This window comes from Homo sapiens, chromosome 1, assembly GCF_000001405.40.
Source record: "Homo sapiens chromosome 1, GRCh38.p14 Primary Assembly".
NCBI classification, from domain to species: Eukaryota; Metazoa; Chordata; class Mammalia; order Primates; family Hominidae; genus Homo; species Homo sapiens.
This window is the reverse complement of record NC_000001.11, coordinates 41,005,294-41,026,855: the sequence shown is the minus strand read 5'-3', so window position 1 is coordinate 41,026,855 and position 21,562 is coordinate 41,005,294. Positions and strand designations below refer to the sequence as shown.

The 21,562-nt window shown below is 51.7% G+C and overlaps 2 protein-coding genes and 1 long non-coding RNA gene across 28 annotated transcripts in view, besides 3 other annotated features; 1 reads left to right on the top strand and 2 right to left on the bottom strand.

Annotated features, from left to right (window-relative positions):
* Positions 1-12,266, bottom strand: part of SLFNL1-AS1 (SLFNL1 antisense RNA 1) — a 29,301-nt gene extending 17,035 nt beyond the window's left edge. Inside the window, exon 1 of the long non-coding RNA NR_037868.1 lies at positions 8,455-12,266. This is a non-coding gene — a long non-coding RNA (SLFNL1 antisense RNA 1). The remainder of the gene's footprint in view (positions 1-8,454) is intronic.
* SLFNL1 (schlafen like 1) lies at positions 5,131-11,259 on the top strand. Of its 18 annotated transcripts, none has more exons than NM_144990.4 (6): positions 5,131-5,233; positions 5,986-5,992; positions 6,078-6,630; positions 8,700-9,221; positions 9,479-9,622; positions 10,628-11,259. In NM_144990.4, the coding sequence occupies exons 3-6, from the start codon at positions 6,196-6,198 to the stop codon at positions 10,748-10,750; spliced, it is 1,224 nt and encodes a 407-aa protein (NP_659427.3). In that variant the 5' UTR covers positions 5,131-5,233; positions 5,986-5,992; positions 6,078-6,195; the 3' UTR covers positions 10,751-11,259. The 18 variants fall into 18 exon arrangements, with proteins under 18 accessions (NP_659427.3, NP_001287788.1, XP_005270656.1 ...); NM_001300859.2 differs by having other exon boundaries at positions 5,923-5,992; positions 8,877-9,221; XM_005270599.3 differs by having other exon boundaries at positions 5,923-5,992.
* Positions 8,493-8,662: an enhancer, noted in NCBI's record as "experimental_8011 CRE fragment used in MPRA reporter constructs". NCBI's record gives its function as "activates a minimal promoter by MPRAs in K562 erythroleukemia cells, with activity observed for the non-introgressed 1:41483951 variant allele {active_cell/tissue: K562}" and the evidence as "EXISTENCE:reporter gene assay evidence [ECO:0000049][PMID:34662402]".
* The window catches only part of CTPS1 (CTP synthase 1), a 32,870-nt gene continuing 25,598 nt past the window's right edge, over positions 14,291-21,562 (bottom strand). For 5 of the 9 annotated variants that reach the window (NM_001905.4, XM_024453553.2, XM_024453552.2 and 2 more), the window contains 7 exons: positions 20,762-20,805; positions 19,311-19,407; positions 18,142-18,197; positions 17,966-18,062; positions 17,267-17,411; positions 16,602-16,695; positions 14,291-15,198 (listed from right to left, as the gene is read on the bottom strand). In NM_001905.4, coding sequence (NP_001896.2) covers positions 16,611-16,695; positions 17,267-17,411; positions 17,966-18,062; positions 18,142-18,197; positions 19,311-19,407; positions 20,762-20,805 — 524 coding nt within the window. In that variant the 3' untranslated portion in view covers positions 14,291-15,198; positions 16,602-16,610. Of the gene's footprint in view, positions 15,199-16,597; positions 16,696-17,266; positions 17,412-17,960; positions 18,198-19,310; positions 19,408-20,761; positions 20,806-21,562 lie in introns of those variants that run through there. The other 4 variants (XM_047447471.1, XM_047447469.1, NR_125440.2 and 1 more) reach the window with 3 other exon arrangements.
* Positions 18,772-19,971: an enhancer, noted in NCBI's record as "MED14-independent group 3 enhancer chr1:41472557-41473756 (GRCh37/hg19 assembly coordinates)". NCBI's record gives its function as "activates an origin of replication core promoter dependent on BRD2, BRD4, P300/CBP and CDK7 cofactors, and independent of MED14, by STARR-seq in HCT116 cells {active_cell/tissue: HCT116}" and the evidence as "EXISTENCE:reporter gene assay evidence [ECO:0000049][PMID:35650434]".
* Positions 19,633-19,833: a silencer, noted in NCBI's record as "peak192 fragment used in MPRA reporter construct". NCBI's record gives its function as "represses an SCP1 promoter by STARR-seq MPRAs in K562 erythroleukemia cells {active_cell/tissue: K562}" and the evidence as "EXISTENCE:reporter gene assay evidence [ECO:0000049][PMID:32103011]".

The window sequence follows — 21,562 nt, the reverse complement described above, 5'->3', positions numbered from 1 at the left end:
TGTACTCCAGCCTAGGTGACAATTTGAGACCCTGTCTCAAATAAATAAAATGGAGAGCTTGGAAAAAATGATTCCTAAGCGTCCTTCTAATTCCAGCAGTCCCTAAAGAACAGGTGGTCTTCCGAATGTCCACCAGAGCCCCAGCATCACACAGGCCCCTTGGAAAGTCAGTATGTGAATCCAGTCTCCACCCTCAAAGGGCTTTGCTCTGGTGCAGCTAGACAGTAGTAAGCACAGCAGCTATGCAAAGCCAGAGCAGGAGGGAGCAATCTTACATCAGCAACTCCTAGGAGCCTCAGTGGCTGGGCATATCCTCACCCATATAGGGTGGGGAAAGATGCAGGCCAGCACAGCCAGGTCAGGCCTGCACTGTACCCCTTGTGCTGACCAGGGGCCAGGCACACAACTCCAGGGCCACACGTCGTGTTTATAATTGGAGTATAGGGTTTGCAGGAGGAAGAGAAGGCATAGGGGAGCAGCAGGTCAGTGCAGTATAACCTGATAATAACCACCACCAACACTTATATCACTGTGTGCCACATGAGCTGCTTACATGAATTAGAACTATCTCACTTACTCTTCACAACAAACCCATTTTATGGATAAGGAAACTTAAGCTCAGGTCACACAGGCAGGAAGTGCCAAAGCAGACATTTGACTGCAAGGCTGAGGTTCTAGCCAGCCCACCTATGTGCCAGGAAGCTTTGGGTGGGTCATTTCCTTTCTTTGGGCCCATCTGGCTATGGGGTATTTGCATGAGGAGACTTGTGAAGGCCCTTCAAGCTTTCACCAGTGACAAGTTCCAATATCATAACTTACTTAGAATATATTTTCTACTTGGCCACTGTGAGGTTCTAACCATGGTCACTGTGAAACAGTCAGGGTCAAGGCTGCCAAACAAGTTGAGGCCCTCATTTTCTACCAACTCCTTGACACTGGGGTTTTTTTTTTTTTTTTGACAGTGTCTCTGTCGCCCAGGCTGGAGTGCAGTGGCACGATCTCGGCTCCCTGCAACCTCCGCCTCCCGAGTTCAAGTGATTCTCATGCCTCAGCCTCCCAAGTAGCTGCGACTACAGGCACACGCCACCATGCCTGGCTAATTTTTTGTAGTTTTAGTAGAGTTTCACCATCTTGGCCAGGCTGGTCTCGAACTCCTGACCTCAAGTGATCCGCCTGCCTTGGCCTCGCAAAGTGCTGGGATTACAGGCCTGAGCCACCGCACCCGGCCAACACTGGGATCTTGTAGACTGTGCTGTTCATTCAGGGTATTCCCAATGAGCACCTTGCTGAACCCTAACAACAAACTTCTAGATGTGACCCTCAAGACACAGGGACTAAAGGTGACACTGGCATATGTAGGCAGGCCAGACATGCTGCAAAGCTGGGCACCCACCCCACCTTACCCTCTTCGCCAAGAGTATGTAACTTCCTACTGAGCATTGTTGTGAGAACTCATTGTGCTGAGTTGTTTTTCTACACTATCCCACTGAAACCTCACAACAGTCCTATAGTATAACTACTGTTTCCCTATCTTACAGGTGCTTAGAGAGGTTAATTCCATAGCTGTTAAGGGGTACATGTCCTGCTGCCTGCAACTCTCTCCCGTGGGCCTTTGTCTCAGATCCAGCTACCATTCAGACTCCAGACCCCTGCAGGCTACACTGGGCATGTCATTAACTTTGAAGACTGTCAAACAGAAATGGCCTGGCTGCAGGGCAGCGGGAAGCAGCCCTCTTCAGGGGAGGAGGGCAGTCCTCACAGAGCCTCTGGTCATCAGGAGTTATTCTCCTTGGTTGCCCAGGTGACAGCTCAGGTACAAGGGAATGAGACACATCAGGGAGAAGGGGGTTGGTTCACTGTGGCTTAGAGGCATCATTCCCCAAAGGAGCTCATATCTCTTTGAACAACTCAATAGGCATAGCTTTCAGGGACCCCATAAGCCACATACCCAATTGAGTCATTCCACATAGGACGCCCAACCTTATGGCTTTTTAACAAGTGTTTATAGTTCACACAGAAAACTCCAAGTGCTGATAATTTACAATTAGGAATCATGCTTACCATAAGTAATGTTGCACTGAAACAGCTAACATACTTTTATCTGGTTTCCAGACAAAAAGAACTAGAAAGGTAACCAAATGTCAAGTTCTGCAGGAAAGGAGAGGATGATTCACGCTGCCATAACCTCTGGGGTCAAAATTAAATGTTGTTTAAGAAAGAAAAAAACCCCTCAACTTTGGAAATTGTTTCAAAAGCCAAAAGCCTTCTAATAGTGACCCAGAATCATTAAAAGCACTCGAACGGGCCTCAGACCCAGTGCACACATGCTGCAGTGTTGGAGAGGCCACTCCGTGAACCCCAGCAGTCCAGTAGCCCACCAGGTGGAAAGGCACAGGTGCCAGAGGTCTCATGGCATCAGCTTCATGTGCTCACCCTCAATGGGGGGACAGGGAGATGACACTGACTTTGTGCTGAGCTCAGGAGGGAAACACCAAACACTTTGGGAGGTAACAGAGATCTAGGCCCCACCTAAGGCCGAATCCATGGGAGTGTGGGGCATTTTTCTGGAACACTCCGCCCTCCCCAGCCGTGGCTCCACCCTGCCTGCTGGCCGTGGACTGCATTGTCCAGACACTCTTTGTGGGGGTCTTATGGGACTCCTTAAGATTGATCCCTGAGGTGTAGCAATGGTGGGCCAAATGGACACTGTTCCGGCCCTCACACTGGTGCCACACTCCCTCGTTGGCAAGAGCCTGAAGGTGAATCATCCCTCCTTCTTTACCACCAAAACAAAAAGTGTGGGAAACCTTGAGAAGAGGGTCCCAACACTTCTCCCCTCAGCAGCCCTCAGCTTTTTGCAGCCTCTTTACCTAAGTACCCTGAGTCACTGGACATGGTCTTGCCACCACATTCCGTCAGGGCAGAGCCACAGCTTCCAGCCTTCAGCCCAGAGGCAGTCACAGCCAAGCATCAGAACTGCGGCTCTGTGCCTACAGTGCCAAAGCCACTGCAGGTGCTCACAGAGGCTGGCAGCCCACAGTACCCAGGGCACAGACACTAGGCTGGAGCCACTCAAGTCAGAGATACTCTGCAGTAACTGGGGCTGGGCCCTGTCAGAGCCAGGTGGGGATCTACAGGCTGGAGGCAGCACGCTAGGGGAGGGCTTGAGACCAAGGGAGGCTGGAGTGATGTGGGTCCCAGGACCTGGAAAGCTATGTTTGTAACTCTGCTCCCCAGAGTTCGCTCTTCTTGATCATCCTTGTTCTCTCCTGCACCTGGCTGGGCTCATTCCTCTTCCCTATCCCTCTGCCCCTTGACTGGCCTTCCTGGGCAAACAGCAGATTGTGAAGTGGGAGCTGTGGGGAAGAGGGGATGGCATGCCTGCTGTGGGTTCAGGGATTGTGGCCATGTGGGCCACCCAGTGGACACTGTCCAGATAACATGAAAAGAGGCCATCCACAGCGGCTCAGCTCTCTGCCCCTCATCTTTGGGCCCCACCTCACATTCATAAAGAGGCTTAAATTCTAGGGTTTTTTCCTTCAGTTCAAGATGAGGTTTGTCAGTGAGGTCACAGACATCCAGCAAGAGGGTTAACGGGGCTGCTTATCCCCCCACTGGGAACCCACCACTCCAAGCTGCCTGCAGAGCACCTATACTTTCTAATACTATTACCTAATACTAGAGAGCCAGAGACACCGTAAATAACCTTGTTATCTTATATTTATGTATTTAAAAGATGGTTCATAAATGTGTTTAGTGCTTACCATGAAAGACAATTTTTACCCCCATCTCCAAAAAGAAGTAGAACTGATTCAGCTCACAGAAGGCTGTTAAAGGCGCCAGAGAAATATGTGATGCAGTGGCTTAAAGAGACTGCCAGGAAGAGTGGGGAAAGTTGCTGCACTCAAGTCAATTTGGGAAATTTCATGCAGAACAGCCACCCAATAGCAAGGCCTCTAGGTAAGTAGGGAGAACGCCTCTGGTCATGTTCAGGTGTTTCGTCTGTCAAGGTGCTTCTCCCGGACAGCTATTTCTGCACAGTTCAACACGACTTGAGTTGGCCATCTCAAAACAGCTATAGCCTCAGTTGCTGTGAGGGCACCTCATGGATGACAGAGGCAAGAAAGGCTTGAGGGAGAGGGGGTGAGGCAGGGGGAGCTTGGAGCCGTCATTCTCTAACCCTAAGAGCTGTGGACACAAAGCCGAGCCCAACCTGGCTGCTGCCCGGGCGGGCAAGGAGAGGGCACCGAATGCACTCTCCCCAGAGCCTCGCACTGCCACCAGTTGAGGCCTGCGCCCCTCTCTTCCCCGCACACCATAGCCTCTTTTCTTGAGTGCTCTACCCAAACTACTGCCTCACCCCCTAGGAAACAAACATTTGGTAACATCTTCAGAAAGGCTGCTTTCAAGGAAGGCAGCTTCTCTACGCTGTCAAACAGCTTTCTTAGTTGAAGCATCTAACTGTGGCACCATCCTTACTGCCCCCAATTGGGGCTTCCAGAAGCAGTGTGGGCAAGCGCTGCCAGCCTTCTGCAGAATGATGAGCACTGGTCAGTCCTGTGCTGATAAAGACTGTGTGTCACCCACGTCTTGGTTTCTCCAACAGCAGGTAACAACCTCATCTTCCCAAAGAGATAGATAGCTACGCCTGACCTATTTTTCAGGGCTCTTCTGGACAGCAGCCTCTGTCTCCAGCACAGAGAAGGGCCTGGCGTCAGGGGGAGCCCTGGAGCCTACCATGTGCCTCCTGCTCCATCTTGGGAGCAGCTGGGCCCTGTCAGTACTCAGTAGAGCCTGGGATTGGTGACTGACTAAAGAGGGAGGTGGAGGCTTTAGGCAGCAGCGCTGAAAGAGGTGGCAAGAGGTGACCTGCATGGGAACTGGGGCCTGAAGAGACATCACTAAGTGGGGAAGTGTGTCCCACAGCCAAGCTGCATGGTGGGTGGGCCGCTGGGTCTGCTTCCAGTGTGTGGTGGGACCCACAGGGAGCTGAGTTTTCCTGTTTGATTTCCCGCACCCAGCCTGCCTGTGGCTGGCCAAGAAGGCATTGTTGAACCTCATGAGATCACAGAGGTAGCTGTGCAGGCCCCGCCCACTTCCTATAACCCTGGTTCTGGCCGTCCCTGTGCCAAGCCTCCAAGTTCCCTGAGAGCTACCGGCCAGGGGTCGGGAGGCTATGGGAGCTCAGGGCAGGCACCTCCCATGCTCCCGCGGGAGCCACCAGGACATGAAGGTCATAGGCCTCTCCTCTCCTCCTCTTCCTGTTTGACCTGAATGCCCCCAGGCCAACTGCCTCAAGGATTCCATTTGAGAAGATGCAGGCTGGGTGTGTGGGGAGCAGTAGAGGGGCTGGTGTGTGCACATATGTGCACAGCTCAGGACAGAGGCTCCCTGGACTTGGGGCGGGGGCACTAGGGCCCCAACTCTAACCCTCGTTCTGCCCTGTTGACCTCTGCTCTCTGGACCAAAAATGGAGGACTCAGTCTAGACTAGTTCTTAGGGTCTAGGAGCCACCTTAAGTTATGTTTATATGCAAAGGCCATTTTTCTGAGAGGCCATAGCTTTCATCAGTGTGCCAAAAAGCGTGAGATCCTCTGCTCTAAAAGCCTCTGCCCCAGCGCTGCCTAGTTTCAGAGCCCCCGATGGCCTCACATGGGGTTTTAGAGCAGGCAGAGAAGCTGCAATGGGGCCACCAGCCAGTCCTCAGAGTCCTGGGTTAAGGCCTCCTCTCCAGGAGGCCCTGTGTAAAGGTTTTCTCTGTTGCCTGGAGGCAGGAGTGAACTGGTAGGCAGGAAACCCTGAGGGTACCTAGGAGGCCCCTAGCCTGTGGGTTGGGGAGGGAAGACAGGACCCCTGGGGCCACTGAAATGGTGGAGCTCTCAGAGACCTGAGTTCTGGTCCCTTCTGCCACTTTTTGGGCAGATCCCGTCTTCCCACAGGCCCTGTGTCTTGCTCAGTCCACGTGACTCTGCTTTCTCATCCTAGGCCTCAGGTGGGTGGCAGGCCCTTTCCTGCTTGCCCTCTGCCCTCCCTCTCTCTGGCCCTGCCCAGTCTCTGCCAATCTGTGTACCTCCCAGGAGCCGGGACACTCCCTGAGTCCTCTGGGAGCCCTTAAGCCACACTGAGAACACAGACCCTGGGAGAAGCAGCCAGCAGTGAGGAATCCTGGAACCCCTTCCCAGGGAGAGCCTTCCCATGACCCCCATGAAGAGATCAGTGCAAACACAGGTGTCAGAGCCCTTCATGGAGTCCTGGGGTGAGGAGTCCCTGCCGGAGCTACCCGCAGAGCAGTCCCTGACGGAGTACTCTGACCTCGAGGAGGCTCCCTCGGCGCACACTCTCTATGTGGGCCATCTGAACCCCCAGTTCTCAGTGCCGGTGCTTGCCTGCCTGCTGCGAGACACCCTGGAGCGGCTGGAGATGCCGGTGGCGCGGGAGCACATTGAAGTGGTGAGGCGGCCGCGGAAGGCCTATGCACTGGTGCAGGTGACTGTCCACAGGGACACCCTGGCCTCCCTCCCCTGGCGCCTGCAGACGGCCCTGGAGGAGCACCTAATCCTCAAGGAGCTGGCAGCCCGTGGGAAGGACCTGCTATTGAGTGAGGCCCAAGGGCCCTTCAGCCACAGAGAGGTAAGTGGGACTTTTCCCAAGCAAGCTCCAAAGCCTCACCCCAAGGGAGAGCCTCTGAGTGGGAGTGGCCTGCAGAGTGGGGATGGAGGGGTGTCTCTGGGGAAGCAGGGACAAATCTGCAAACTTGGGGGCTGCCACTCAAATGACCATGGCTTGCGGCTGGTACTGCCAGCTTTCTCTGGGAAAAACAGTTTGCCTCAAGCTCAAGCCCGACGTTTGTGTGAAGAAAGGCCACGAGGGGACCTCCTCTCCTTAGGTCCTTTTACATTCCAGCCTCTGGGCCTGGGAGACCCTAGAAGACACAGGGGCCCCGATTTTCTCCTTGGCCCAACTCATTTGTTCAATTGACAAACATGAACACCCCCTCTGTGCCAAGAGTAAGGCAGGGATGAGAGGCCCAGCCAGGCCCCCAGGAAGCCCTGCATCTGTGGCCAGAGCTGGACAGCCACCCACCGAGCTGCAAGGTGGCTGCGCTCAGAGCTGTGAGAGAAGACAGGAAGGTTTGCCCTGCTCTCTGGGGACAGATTAACAGGGGAAGTGAAATCCAGGCCGGGACTTAGGGAGTTGGACAGGCACTTGCAAGGGAGGACATTCCAGGCAAGGGACACAGAATATGCAGAGGAACCTGGGGGCTTAGAGGGAGTGTCATGTCTGCAGAAGGGCAAACCATTTGGTGTCCCTGGAGCTCCCACTAAAGGCTGCAGGGGGTGCTAAGGAAGGAAGTTGGGCCAGAAGGTAGGGTAGGGGCCAGGTCACCAAGGCTATCATCCAAGGCAAGGCTGAACTGCTGGCTTTATTGGGTGGGACATGGGACGTTAGGATAGGTCACTCCATGAGACAGGTGATTTTGGTTTCTTTTGGTGTGAAAATGATGGTGTTTAAACTGTTGCAGAACTAAAAGGCTCTGTGGCTTACATTTCAACTCAATTTCACATTTGTATGAAGTTTATCCTGTTTCTAAGACTGATAAATTCATCTTCTCTGGGGAGCTGCAGGGCTGGTAGGGAGGTGCCTCAGTCTCCTCACCCCAACCCACGCTCATGAAAGAATTGTGAGGAGTAACAATCTGCCTTGAAGTTAGCGTCACTAAGGAGGGTTGGCTGGGCGCGGTGGCTCACGCTTGTAATCCCAGCACTTTGGGAGGCTGAGGCGGGCAGATCACGAGGTCAGGAGATCGAGACCATGGTGAAACCCCGTCTCTACTAAAAATACAAAAAAATTAGCCGGGCGTGGTGGCGGGCCCCTGTAATCCCAGCTACTCGGGAGGCTGAGGCAGGAGAATGGCTTGAACCCGGAAGGCGGAGCTTGCAGTGAGCCGAGATCACGCCACTGCACTCCATCCAGCCTGGGTGACAGGGCGAGACTCTGTCTCAAAAAAAAAAAAAAAAAAAAAAAAACAGGAGGGTTGACATGAAAGGGTGAGCCTGGAAGCAGGGAGGTCAGGGAGGGGCTCGCTGGGGAGGCCCAGACTAGGAAGTGGCCCCGAGGAGGCTCACACCAAGCCCTCGAGCAGAGCCCAAACCATGAAAGGAGATTCAGGAGGCGCAGAAGAAAGTGGGGATTAGGGCGGACTTGTCAATAGCCCAGCAAGTAGTGGGCAAAGGTTTGAAATCAGGAAGTGGGTGGGGTACCTGGGAGTCCCTCTCCATTCAGGGTACTGCAGCTCTGTCACAGGGTGCTGAGATACCTGCTGGAATGATCTGGTTCTGGGCCTCAGGGGCCTGTCTGCAACCCAAGTAAGAAAAAATGGGCCCACACATGTCCCAGCACCCAGCCCTGAGAAGCAGAAATCTCTTCTTCCCCACCAGGCATCCCACAGCTCACCTGGGAAGGGCCCAGCTTGGCAGGGAAAGGAGCGCTGACTGGAACCCTCGATCCAGCAGGGTTTCCTGCCTCGGCTGCAGGAGGGTGGGCAGAACTGGGCCCCTCGGCCTGGTGAGGGGCATCAGGATGTCCGTAAGAGTCAGGCTGCAGCAGGGGCCTGACTGGGGGTTCTTGCAGTCCTTCTCAGGGTCAGGGCTCCCATTTCCTGGCTGGACCCATACATTCATTCTTGACTACCACCCTAGGAGAAGGAGGAGGAGGAGGAGGACAGTGGCCTGAGCCCTGGCCCCAGTCCAGGCTCTGGTGTCCCGCTGCCCACCTGGCCTACACACACGCTGCCTGATAGGCCCCAGGCCCAGCAGCTGCAGAGCTGCCAGGGCCGGCCCAGCGGCGTGTGCTCCGACAGTGCCATTGTGCACCAGCAGATCGTGGGCAAGGACCAGCTCTTCCAGGGTGCCTTCCTGGGCAGCGAGACCCGCAATATGGAGTTCAAGCGGGGTAGCGGCGAGTACCTCAGCCTGGCCTTCAAGCACCACGTGCGGCGCTACGTGTGCGCCTTCCTCAACAGCGAGGGCGGCAGCCTGCTCGTGGGAGTAGAGGACAGCGGCCTGGTGCAGGGCATCCGCTGCAGCCACCGTGACGAGGACCGCGCACGCCTGCTGGTGGACTCCATCCTGCAGGGCTTCAAGCCTCAGATCTTTCCCGATGCCTACACTCTCACCTTCATCCCTGTGATCAGTACCTCGGAGACCAGCGTCCCCCTCAAGGTGAGCCTGCAGGACAGGAGGGCCTCTGGGCCTGTCATCTGTCATCACTCAGTAAGACGATGGCCTGCACTCCTGCCAGGCAGTGCTGGGGCAGGGACGGGACTGGGGGCCACAGGAGAAGAGGCTGGGGATGGCCCCTGTGCCAGCCCTGCTGGCCTGCCCTAAGGAATCAGTGAGCAATGCTGAGCAGCCTGGCAGGATGGGGGCTGCCGACCGTGAGGGGCGGCGCCTCCAGAGCTGCTGTTGCCCCTACCAAGGTGATCCGCCTGACCGTGCACACCCCCAAGGCCCAGAGCCAGCCGCAACTCTACCAGACAGACCAGGGGGAGGTGTTTCTGCGGCGCGACGGGAGCATCCAGGGCCCGCTGTCTGCCAGCGCCATCCAGGAGTGGTGCAGGCAGGTACGGAAGCTGAGGCCAGTGGGTGGGGTGGAGCGGAGCTGACCCCAGACCCCTTCAGCCACCCACTGAGCAGCCCAGGGCAAGCCACCATGGTTCCCTGGGTCCTGCATCACCCCGTTGAACCCAAGGGGTTGGAATACAATCACACCACATCCCATACTCCGCGGGTAGGTGGCTGGTGGGAAGGAAGAGGCCCAAGCTCTCTCCTTTTAAAAATCTATGCAGTGGCCAGGCGCAGTGGCTCACGCCTGTAATCCCAGCACTTTGGGAGGATGAGGCGAACAGATCACAAGGTCAGGAGTTCGAGACCAGCCTGGCCAACATGGTGAACCCTCGTCTCTACTAAAAATACAAAAATTAGCTGGGCATGGTGGCGGGCGCCTGTAGTTCCAAATACTCGAGAGGGTGAGGCAGGAGAATCGATCGAATCTGGGAAGCGGAGGTTGCAGTGAGCCGAGATCGCGCCACTGCACTCCAGCCTGGGCGACAGACCGAGACTCCATCTCAAAAAAAAAAAAATCCTATGCAGTATCCTCCCTTCAGGGGTGCCTGAAACCCCTCACCCTCTACTTGGGCAGTTAACACACTCGATCTTGAGTGAGGGAGCAGAGAGACTGGAATGTTGAGATGTCACCAGAAAACCCCAAAGACTATACACTGCATTTTAGGGGAGGCCCTAAAGCGGCAGAGGGGGCAAGACACAGTCCCAAGGAAGAGCTTTTTCAAGAGGGAAACAGAGAATGGAGGACAAGGGACCAACAGTGAGGAGGCACATGGCCTGCCCAGCACGGAGGAGGCTCCCTTCCATGGCTGGCAGCCGGCAGCTTCCCTCAGGCTGACACGGTTGAAGGTGGCAGCAGGCCGAGGGGCCTGACTTTTCCCCTAGCTGAGAAAGCTCTCAGGCTCCTGGGCTTTGCCTTCCTCCCTCAGTTTGGCCCCAGGTGGAGGACGGACAGGCCCGAGACCAGGCGGGCTTGGCCACATGCTTTTCCCATGTCCCCTCAGAGGTGGCTGGTGGAGCTGGGCAAGCTGGAAGAGAAGATGAAGGCGCTGATGATGGAGAAGGAGCAGCTCCAGCAGCAGCTGCAGCAGCACGGGCCTGTGTCCTGCACCTGCTGTGTCCTGTGAGGGCCCTGGGGAGCAGGCAGGACGGCACGGCACTCTCCACCTGAGACCCAGGGATTTCCTGTTTGAGTGTAAGGCCAACCAGTAAAGCCCATGCGGGCTGCTGAGAGGCGGACAGGGACTCCTTCAACATGGCACATGAGCAGGCACCCATGTGGCTTCAACCCTGACAGACCCATCTGTGTAGCCAAGAAACTGCTCTCAGCCCTGTCCCCAAATGACCTTACTTTCAGAAAGAATGTGTAAAACCCTGCCCAGAGCTCCCCTAGGGCTAAGCTATAAGGGATTGTCCTTCTCCCTAAAATGCTCATTTGGCCCAGGCTGAGGTCTGTGACTCCAGTTGGCTACACAGTGCCAGAAAGGAATCTGTCATCTCAGGAAAGCCCCTCAAAGATGGCGAGGCATATTTGATGACTGTGGTTACAGGGCAAGAGGCCACCCTGCAGCCCCCACCCCTGACTTGCTGGAACTTGTGACTGTCAAAGCTCCATTAATAAATTACATGCACCTGGGACAAGAATGGTTCTTTCTAGGACACTGGGTCAGCCGGTCAGATGCTGCAGGGTCATGAGTCCCAGGCCCAGCCCACCTCTGTCCAGGAGGCAGAGGACAGACCTGCAAGGGCAGGGAGCCCAGCCCCTCAGACTCCAGTCCAGCTCTGTCTTAAAGACCAGGGACCGTGGGGCAAAGTGCTATGCCTCTGTGCTTCAGTTTCTTCATCTATAAGACAGTGACAATGGCCAGGGGCATTTTGTCACCATCGGGCCAGTGCCCTGTGTCTACGCCAGCTGTGGCACAGAGCAGCACCTCACACTAAGGGTCTCAGTTCCTTTCCAAGACCCCTCTGGTCCAGTAAGACCGTTAGCTTAAAACAAACAAAAAAAACCAGACTCCTCCAGCTGCTTCCTGCCTCTGGCCGTTTCTCCTGCTGTCTCCACCAGCTGAGCCAGAGGCTGCAAAGCCAGAGTCTGATCACACTCACGCCACACCTGCACCCATAGCCCTCCAAATTCTTCAAGAGCAAAGCCCAAACTTGATGGCCTACATGGTTCTCCACCACCTAGCCCACCCAACCTCAATGTCTTCCGCCCCTTATGTAAGCCACTTCAGCCACGCCCACCAACTTGTTTCATTTGCACTCCTGCCTCGGGGCCTCTGCGCTACATAGCGGCCTATTTCCTTTCCTCTTCACCTTCAAGTCCATGCTTAATTTCCCACCCACCCTATTTTAAAGACACCACCTCCCAGCACTGCCACTCCCCTGCTCACTTCCACCCCTGGTCTCCATCTATGAACTACCACACTCTGTAGCTTATATTTGGTGCTTCCCCCACTGAATAACTGCTCTGGGGGACAGGGGTTTGGGTATGGCTGGCATATGGTAGACACCCAATAAATACCTGCTGGTGAGACAATTAAGGATACTCCTAAATTTGGGGTCTGAGCCACCAGAAAATCACCAAACCTTGTTGAACAGGGCATTTCACAGGACTAGTGTTCCACAGAACACACTTCAGTTGATCCCCTAAAACTTGAAGACCCTGGCCACATCCACAGCAGACACAGATGAGAACTTTGGAACCCCCAGCCCCTCCACTCACCAGCCAGGTGACATTTTCTGGGTGATCACAACTGCTCTGAGACCTGGTTTTCCCACTTAGCAAAGAGCACACAACCCCTGCCTCGGCTGCCATTCATGCTGGTTAGGGACCAATGTGATCACAGACACCTATATGGTGGCAGGTTACCAAACTCCTGCTGCTCACCCCCCGAGCTGCCCCAAGGTCACCAAGACTGTTTGAAAACTACACAAATGTGTTACTCAAGAAGGAGGAGTGGCATTTCTGAGCACCTTCCACGGTCCAGGTACCATGCTAAATGCTAGTCCAGGCACCACAATCCTCGGAAATGTTTTTCGGGGGAAAAGAGCAGATTTCTACAAAGGAAGGGTGAAGTCAGGCTTCAGCCCAGCTGCTCCAGACTGCTAAGAACTGCCCAGATCCCCTGGACTGAAGGGAAGTTCCCTGGACTGAAGGAAGTTACTGAAGGGAAGTTACACATAGCTGTGCCTATTGTTAGGTCACATTAAGAAAGGAACGAGGAATGTGACCAGCTTTCCTCCCCATGAGGGAGAAGCCTCCGGGGACGGGTCAGTAAACACTGGGCACAGGTTGCCCTCCTGTAAATCCAGCTTCAGCCCTATCCTGTCTGCCACAGCCAGCGTGGCGGGGCTGCTCGAGCTTTGCAAGCTCTGGAGAGCCATCTGGGATCTCTTTTTTCAGAAACCTTACATTATGTGGCCAGCACTTGACAAGTGATCAGCCAAAGTGATCTTAAACATAGGGGCAGGAACTTAATTACTGGGAGGCTTTTTCACACCACCCACACACCCAGCCATTGTGGGGGACCATGATGTCAACAACGGGCGTGTCAGACCCTCAGTTTGGGGAATGTTTGAAAAAAAACGGGCCAGACGTGGTGGCTCACGCCTGTAATCCCAGCACTTTGGGACGCTGAGATGAGCAGATCACGGCCAGCCTAGCCAACATAGTGAAACCCCATCTCTACTAAAAATACAAAACAATTAGATGGGCGTGGTGGCAGGCACCTGTAATCCCAGCTACTTGGGAAGGTGAGGCAAACAGAATCACTTGAACCTGCGAGGTGGAGGTGGCAGTGAGCCAAGATCACGCCACTGTACTCCAGCCCAGGCAACAGTGTGAGACTCCATCTCAAAAAAAAGACTATTGACCAGGTGCAATGGCTCATGCCTATAATCCCTGCACTATGGGAGGATCGCCTGAGGCCAGGCGTTCAAGACCAGCCTGGCCAACACAGCGAGACCCTGTCTATTAAAAAAAAAAAAAATTTAATTAGCTGGGCGTGGTGATGTGAACCTGTAGTCCCAGCTACTTGGAAGGCTGAGGTGGGAGGATCTTATGAGCCCAGGAGGTCTGCAGCAAGCCGTGCTTGTGCCACTGCACTCCAGCCTGGGCAACAGAGTGAGACCCTGACTCAAAAAAATAAATAAATAAATAAATAAAATTTAAAATGAAGACAATCTCCTGGTACCACCAGGTGGGAGAAGAGGTTAGAATTATGCTCAATCAGCCACGTTCAAAGTACCATAACAAGCAGTTCTGCTGGTGAAGACAGTCTGGCCCACTGCTCACTGGCTGTGTATATGGGGTACCCACGTCCAGTGCCTGGCAGAGGAAAGGACCACCTTCCTAAATCATGCTTATCCCTCCCCTTTCTCAGTCATAAATAGCACCATAATAGCACCCATGCACCTTTTCATCTCGCTCTACATGCTGAGAACCTGTATTTGAAGCTTTATGAAAAATTCTGGTTCCTATTAAAAAGAAAGCCTCATTTCTTAGTTTTTAAACAAACTCTCAGGTTGTCTGCTGAGTCAAGGCTGCTCACCTGCAGGAGCACCCGGCACTGACAATTCAGCTGACTGCACACAAGCAAGCCAGCAACGTGCTCAGACGCTTCCCATCTGGCCAATGACATAAAGAGAATGAGAAGCAAAGCATGTCTCTTGTTCTGCCTTACTGATTTATTTCTTAAGTTAGAGTACACATCGAGTCTGGCCAGAATATAGTGCCACGTAGCTATGCCTATTGCTAGGTCACATTAAGAAAGTAACTTCATATTGCCCTTTCAACTGCAGTAACACCATCCTGGAAGAAAAATGGACCCTCCAGTCAAAGCTGTCTATATATGAGAGGGTTTTAGAGGAAGTTTCCCCCAAAAGATTCTTTGTTCTGTAAGTGACCCCTTGATGCAAGGAGTGTTTCCCAGCCCTAGAAATAGGAAGCGCAGCCACAGGCATGGGGATTTTAAAATCACGCTTCAGAGACAGACATCTTGGTGTTTCATGTTGACACCAAACTGACCGTCCCTTTGAATGAGGACCAGCCACAGTTGGCACTGAGAATTCCCCCCAACTCAGGGCAGTATAGAGATTTTGTCTCTGGTTTCATGGCTTAGTGGCAAGCAATACCCTGAGGTTCCCAGCACCAAGTGTTCAAATCCTAGCTAAAATCCTCTCTCCATGCTCGGTAAGTCCATGTGGCACACTTTATAACGGTCTAGGTATCCAAGGGAAAGCGACAGGCAACGCGCTAGCATCTGCAATGATGCGAGGTAGTTGAGAAACAAGGTGACCGATGGGGCACTCTGCAGCCCCACCCACCATCGGTTCCCATCGCGATGTTCTGCCGCAACTCAAGAACTGCAAGGAGAGTGTCACGCAACAGGCAGACACCACAGAGGAGCCAGTACACGTGATGGGACATGCAAGTGACAAGTTTCCCAAATACCTTTCCGCATAATAAAATAATCTTAATAAAAACATAATTTAAAGAAAGTCTCCAAAGCCGAGTGTAAAGTCAGAGCTGTAAACTCTACCCAAGTTTGAAGGGTCTCTTGAAGAATCATCCCTGTTTAAAAGAAAAAAAAAAGTGGGAATTATATGATGTACATTAAAGTAGAAAAGTTAGAATTTCTAGTCAGCTGCCATGGGAAACTAAGCCTGTTTTTCATGGCAGAGCAGTAGAAGGAGCCTACTGGGAATAATTAGACGCTAAATTTATAATTCCTACAGAATCAGACCTTTTCAAGACCTCACACATCGACTTCTACAACCACCCAATGCAAGCATTCTTTCTCCACAGCACCTCGTAACAGTGTCACTAACGGGCAATTCTCCACTTGCGAGGCAGTCAGAAATTCCATGTAACTGACCAAATATCTACCTCCTTCACTGGTAACAGTTCTTGTTGTATCAGCTCCTTAAGACTGTGAAACAGCCTATAGCAAACTCCCTGGTCAGGGGATTAATGAGTCCATCCGTGTTAAACGCTTACCTAGCACACAGGCCCTCCTCCTGATACTAACTTCTCATGCCTACCCACCACCTACTTAGGCTATGCCAGGACAGGGGGTCAACCAACCAAGGCAGGAGGGGAAACAGCTGGGATCAGCAGGTCAGACCGGCACTGACCCAGCACCAGAGGCCCACTGGTGATGAACACACGGTGTGCAGGATTCAGGGAGGTCCCCCTGCCCAGGCCTTAGGGCAGGAGCGGTGGAACCACACACCCATACCCCTGGTTCTTATTCCAGACCCCAGATGACTGACACTCCCTCATTTGATACCTCACCAGCAGAATGCGTACTTCTGCCAACACAGTCCACACAGTTATCTCAAAGGACATTTACATTTCGTGGCAGTGCCCACAGTTATTGCACTTTATGAACCTACAAACCCTGTCACTTAATAGACAAACATTCGACGTCTATTTGGCAATTGTTCCAACTTTGAAGGAATTCCAGAATAAGCAGCAATCAACAAAAAAAAGTTCTCTAAGCAGTGTCAGTTTTAAAGTACTTCCTGATGAAAACCTGAGGCTCTGCAGAAATGACAAGTGCCACATTGTTGTATCTGTCCCTTCCTTCAAGATCTCCAAAATTTACAGCTACATCAAACAATAGGGTCTAAGAATTCAGACCCTCCCCTTCCCCGCCCCAGAACTGGTCAGACTGGCACCAGAATGTAGTAATCAGTATTGAGACAACTGCCCAGTGACCATGCTCCCCAAGCTGTCATCCCCAGGGCAGGACTGGGAGGTGCACTGCAACTTGGAGGAAGGGCTGCCCATTTGATACCCACAATGACCTCACTACTTTCTTTTCTCTCTCAACCTCTGGATTATATTCAAGACCTCACCACTTTCATTCCTGGCAGATAAAAATTTTCAGCCCTAAACTTCCATGATATTCTTGCAATCGCAGTGTGTTATCACCATGTTTTTAAAAACTAAAACTTTAAAGTACCACTTACGCTACAAGATCAGTCATGATTTATTGATGGAAACTTCAGTTCGGTGATTTCAGAGTCAGGGGAGCTGCTTCCACTCCTGTCACTATAGGTGTCCCTGTAGAATTCAGATGGTTTACGCATCATCTCCCACCAAAAACTCACTTTACGTCCCTGTTTTTGTAACCACGGTTCCTACAGGGACACTTGCCTGCACATGGCAGGAATCACAAAGACTGTTTGCTACATAATATATTTAACATGAAACTGCAGAAAGATTTCCTTCTTCTAGCTACAAAAGATATACATTCCATTTATACTTCAGTCACACACCCTACCACCAACTCTGAGTACTGGTTCTGGATAAAGGTGGCAATGGGACATAAACCTACCCATTGTGGCTTACTTCCCAGGAAAAACTAGTTCCCCTTAACATGGACCAGAGGGTCCTACGCCAAGTGTGATCTGGTCAGCACCACCAGAGCTCAGATGCTGCAGAAAGGGGGACCTGGCCAATATGCCAGGGAAACACCGTGAGAAAGCTCCGGGAAAGGAGAGGAAACTTTCACCCCAGGCGCCTGTGGCTTTTTTTTCTTATGACTGACTGTGACGTGTTGCTGTAATGAATCAGCGACCACCTAAAGGACTAGAGAAGACTAATGGATTACTGAAGCAAAGAGTGCGCCTACCTGGGTGAGAGCCTGCAGCCTTTCTGGAGGTAATGTGAGAGCCGCCCCACAGAGGCCAGGAGGAGGCCAAAGTATGGTGGGGAGGGCTTGATAGGCCTGGACAGGAACTCAGGGTGGTACTGAACCCCAACAAAAAAGGGATGATCTGAAATAGAGATTCAAAAGAAACAGCTTCATTGTGAAGGTTATGCACAAAGTGTAAAAGAACAAAATCTGCTTAAATGTTTGTTTCCATAGGCCCTAAAATAATTTGAAAATGACTTTCTCATTTGAATCTAGATAAAGGGAACCTCAAAGCATGAGTGATCTGATACCCTTTCTCAGCACGGTTTGTGCTGTCCCCTCCTGGCTGAAGGCCTCCTGTCCAGGGTCCCGCCCAAGACCCTGGCTCCCAGGATTTCTGTAGACTGAGTCTTGCGGTTCAGGAGAGGGCTGAAGTGGCTTTAGTACCAACTCCAAGCATTTTGGAGAAGGAGAAACTGCGGCCAGAAGTTAAATGGCTCCCCGAGGAAGGCCATGTACCAGAAAGAAGTTTCTAGAGTCCAGACCCCATGTTTATCAAGACCCCTTCCCTCATGAGACAGTGCTGCTTCCTAATTCTGTTAGGTCAGGAGCAACAAGATAACATTTTTATATTTTCCCATATGCCAAGAAAACTTTACTAAGTTTTCCATTAAATAAAACTGCCCGAATAATCACCTTCTAACTCCACAATTTCCATTCTCTCTCCTTCAACATCTTGGCCAACAAACTTCAAGCCTTGTTCTTCCAAACACTTTTTCCAGACTGGATTCACCTGTTGAGGCATGAAAAATAATTCTGCTGGTCTCTCAGCTCACTATCTTTCCAGAGTACCAGCAAGCTGGAATCCTCACCTCAAATCGGTGGCGGTGCCTCTCTTCCAAGTAGTCTGCGTCTCCATAGAGTTTCCCTGGCAAAACAAACGGGCTGTATGTAAAGAACTTTATCTCACAGGATGATGCGTTCACAAAGACATCCTCCTTCCTGCTTTACTTTTCATCATCCACACAGCCAGGTCTTTTGAGGGCTATTTCTATGAATCTGCTAAGGTCACCTGCTCTTAACAACACAGTTTAGACTAATTCTTGGGCTTTTGACTCTTTCTGACAACACTACAGAAAGCTGTAACAGAAACAAGACTCTCACCACCACCCTCAAACACATGATTGCAAAGTATGGGCACTTTGCTGCTAGAAAACTGCCTTGGAAAGCAAATCAGGATGTACGAAACGGCAAGGCCCTGGGAACGTGGCAGGATGGGAGGCATTTTAAGAGCTGCACAGATGACCTCTGATGATCATTCAGTTCCAATCATGGTCATCAAAGGTCATCAGCCCTCAGTGGCTGCATGTGAACAAGCTGGACATTTGCGAACGGGCTGCTCTACTGACTCATTTCACAGTTGCCTCGAGATCCCCAAATCCACAGAACATCAGAGTTGGTAAGAGAAAGATCCGATACTCAAGTGACTCCAGCTATGCTGCTACAGAACGCCCAGACAGACACAAGGGTGCCTCTGCTAATACAGTAAAGGCAGAATTTTCCCAGTAGACAAGAAGGAAATCTGTGTAATAGTCATTTTCTTAACTATTTTCCTCCGAAAACTACCCTAAACCTTCAGCATCTATTAGTACTTTATTAGAACAGAATCTACTTAGGCTGAATCATATGAAATTGCCATCTTTGTGTGACAAAAATTGCCAAACATCAGCAATTGATATGGCTGGTCTTAATAGGAAAGTAACCGATAAGGATGAATGTAACCTCACTGCCTCATTCTGTTGAGGCGCCCATGCCTAGGAGTCTGACTGCACTGCCAGTGTCCTTTCTAAGACCCACACTGCTTCTATGGCTATCACAGTGCATCCTAAAAGGGTATGAATAAGAGAGGAAAGAATGAACTTCAAAAGCAAGAACGAAACCAAAAAAAGCCAGCCTGCTCCTCGAAGCCACAGCATCACCCTAAGACACGCGTCCTGGGCACGCAGAGCCAAAGGCTGGGCCAGCGTGAGGCAGCTCTTACTCATGACTGAGTTCTTGGTCTGGAACAGGGTTCTCCTCTTGCCCAGCCTCATGGTTCCGCCCATCTGCCCTGGGTTGTGTTCTGGCATGTCTACGACCTGGAGATGTTCAGAAAACAGACACCAACTACAGAACTCTGCTTCCGCTAGAGAGAAACCTCCCTCGCTGAGTGGGTGGCAAAGGCTTGTAAGTAAGCTCTAATTCTCCAGGCTTTCCTTATGAGACATTTTGTCACAGAAGAAAATGCCTCCCAGTTGGCATTTGTAACCTCGGTTGGGTGGAGGCTCCGTCCTTCAGCCTGTCCTCCTGATCTGCAGACAGGACCACAGCAGCCCCTCCTCAGGCTAGTCCCGCCCCAGCACTGTGGACGGTAAGCATCACTTCCTTAGAAAGACTGATACAGTAGCACAGACACGGACTGGATGTGTCATAACATGTCTGTCATCGCCCCAGCTAGCCTGATGACTGCTCAAAGGCAAGGGATGCAGGGCTAGCACCCTGCAGCTTAGCAAGCATCTGAGGACTGGGTGGGCCATGCACTGATGGCCCAGTCCACCTCTCAGCCCAGCGTTCCCAGGCACCTTCTGATTCCAGGCTCTCTGTGCCCTGTTCCTCCTGACCCCAAAGCCCCATGCTGCAAAACATTTGCTGGTCCACTCCTGAGGCCTTAGTATCAGCAAAGTTCAATTTCAGGTCAACAAACACAGTGATGCTGTCTAAGTGCCGTGAGATCAAGAACTTTGTCCGTCTCATTTAGCACGGTGTCCTCAGTGACAAGGGCAGTCCCAGCATATAGTACGCATTCACATTTGCTGACTGCTGAAAAACGTAAATAAGTGCCCTTCCCTTTACATCCCTGTCACCCTGGGCTGGGAATTCAAAGGTGATTAAAGGCATCGTCCCTCCTCCATGTGCCTAACAGTACAGCGGGCTGAGAATGCCACATGCCCTCGGCATGAAATCTAACGCAAGGTACGCCAGCCTGGAAAATCTTTGGATACGGTTAAGCCAACCAGTGCTCCAACCCAGCAGTTCTCCCAGGACTATGGCTGGGGATCCCATGAATTAATATAAAATATACATATGAAAGCAGTGAGAGCAGCGGCTGGCACACAGTAAGTACACATGCCAGGGTCTCATATTAGTATCTATACTGTGTTCTGGGAGTTGAGGGGAGTAGGGATGGAGAAGAATTTTAATCAGGAATCCCCTCCAGTTTCCTGGGCTGGTACCTGTCTTAAAAACTTTCTGTGGTCAATGAAAGATTAGGGAGGAATTACATAATGAAAAAGAAAAGTTTTTCCTCTCTGGTAGGTCTGAGTGCCCAAAACCTCAGGGTTCTTTGGGATGGACTCAAGCAGTCTCACTTCTTGTCTCTAATCATCAATCACGTTCATAAATGCCCCTTCTACACCCTTCTAAGCCCTGTGGAGGTTCAAACACTTGACTCACCACGGGATGACTGGTCGTAGGGTCAAACTCTGTAGAATTGGCATCTGAAATACCAAAATACTTGTTATGAAAATAGTTACAAACGAAAGTGATTAATAGTTTCATTGCTAAGCTCTAAACACAACTTCCCTCCTCAGTTTAAGATCAGTGATTAGAACAAAAACTAAAGATAGCATCCCCCTGACCTCATCCCCAGACGAGATCTCACTGTTGTCCAGGCTGGAGTGCAGTGGTGCGATCATAGCTCACTGCAGCCTTGAACTCCCAGGTTCAAGCAATCCGCCAGCCTCAGCCTCCCAAGAAGGTCAAACTACAGGGGCACACTACCACATCCAGCTAATTTTTTTTCATTTTTTGGAGAGACAAAGGCTATATTGCCAGGCTAGTCTCAAACACCTGGGCTCAAGCAATCCTCCTGCTTTGGCATCCCAAAGTACTGGGATTACAGGTGCAAGCCACCAGACCGGCAATAAATAGCATTTTTAAGACATAAAATACTCAACCCACACACACGTGAATTTTTTTACGTTAAGTATAACTCTCTGGAAAGTCAATCAGTACAAAATGGGAAAATCAAAACTAATGGCATAACCTAGTAATTTTTAATTAGATACTGTATCTTTGACAGTTTTTTTTTTTTGAGACAGAATTTCACACTTGTGGGCAACAAGTGTGGGCAGGCTGGAGTGCAATGGCGTGATCTCGGCACCAAAACCTCCACCTCCAGGTCTCAAGCGATTCTCCTGTCTCAGCCTCCCGAGTAGCTGGGATTACAGGTATACACCACCATGCCCAGCTAAC

Coding starts and splice junctions, on each gene's coding strand:
- SLFNL1 (XM_011540952.3), top strand. CDS start 6,196: ATGACCCCCATGAAGAGATCAGTGCAAACACAGGTGTCAGAGCCCTTC. Junction 9,222..9,478: donor AGACCAGCGTCCCCCTCAAG/GTGAGCCTGCAG, acceptor GCCCCTACCAAG/GTGATCCGCCTGACCGTGCA. Junction 9,623..10,627: donor TCCAGGAGTGGTGCAGGCAG/GTACGGAAGCTG, acceptor ATGTCCCCTCAG/AGGTGGCTGGTGGAGCTGGG.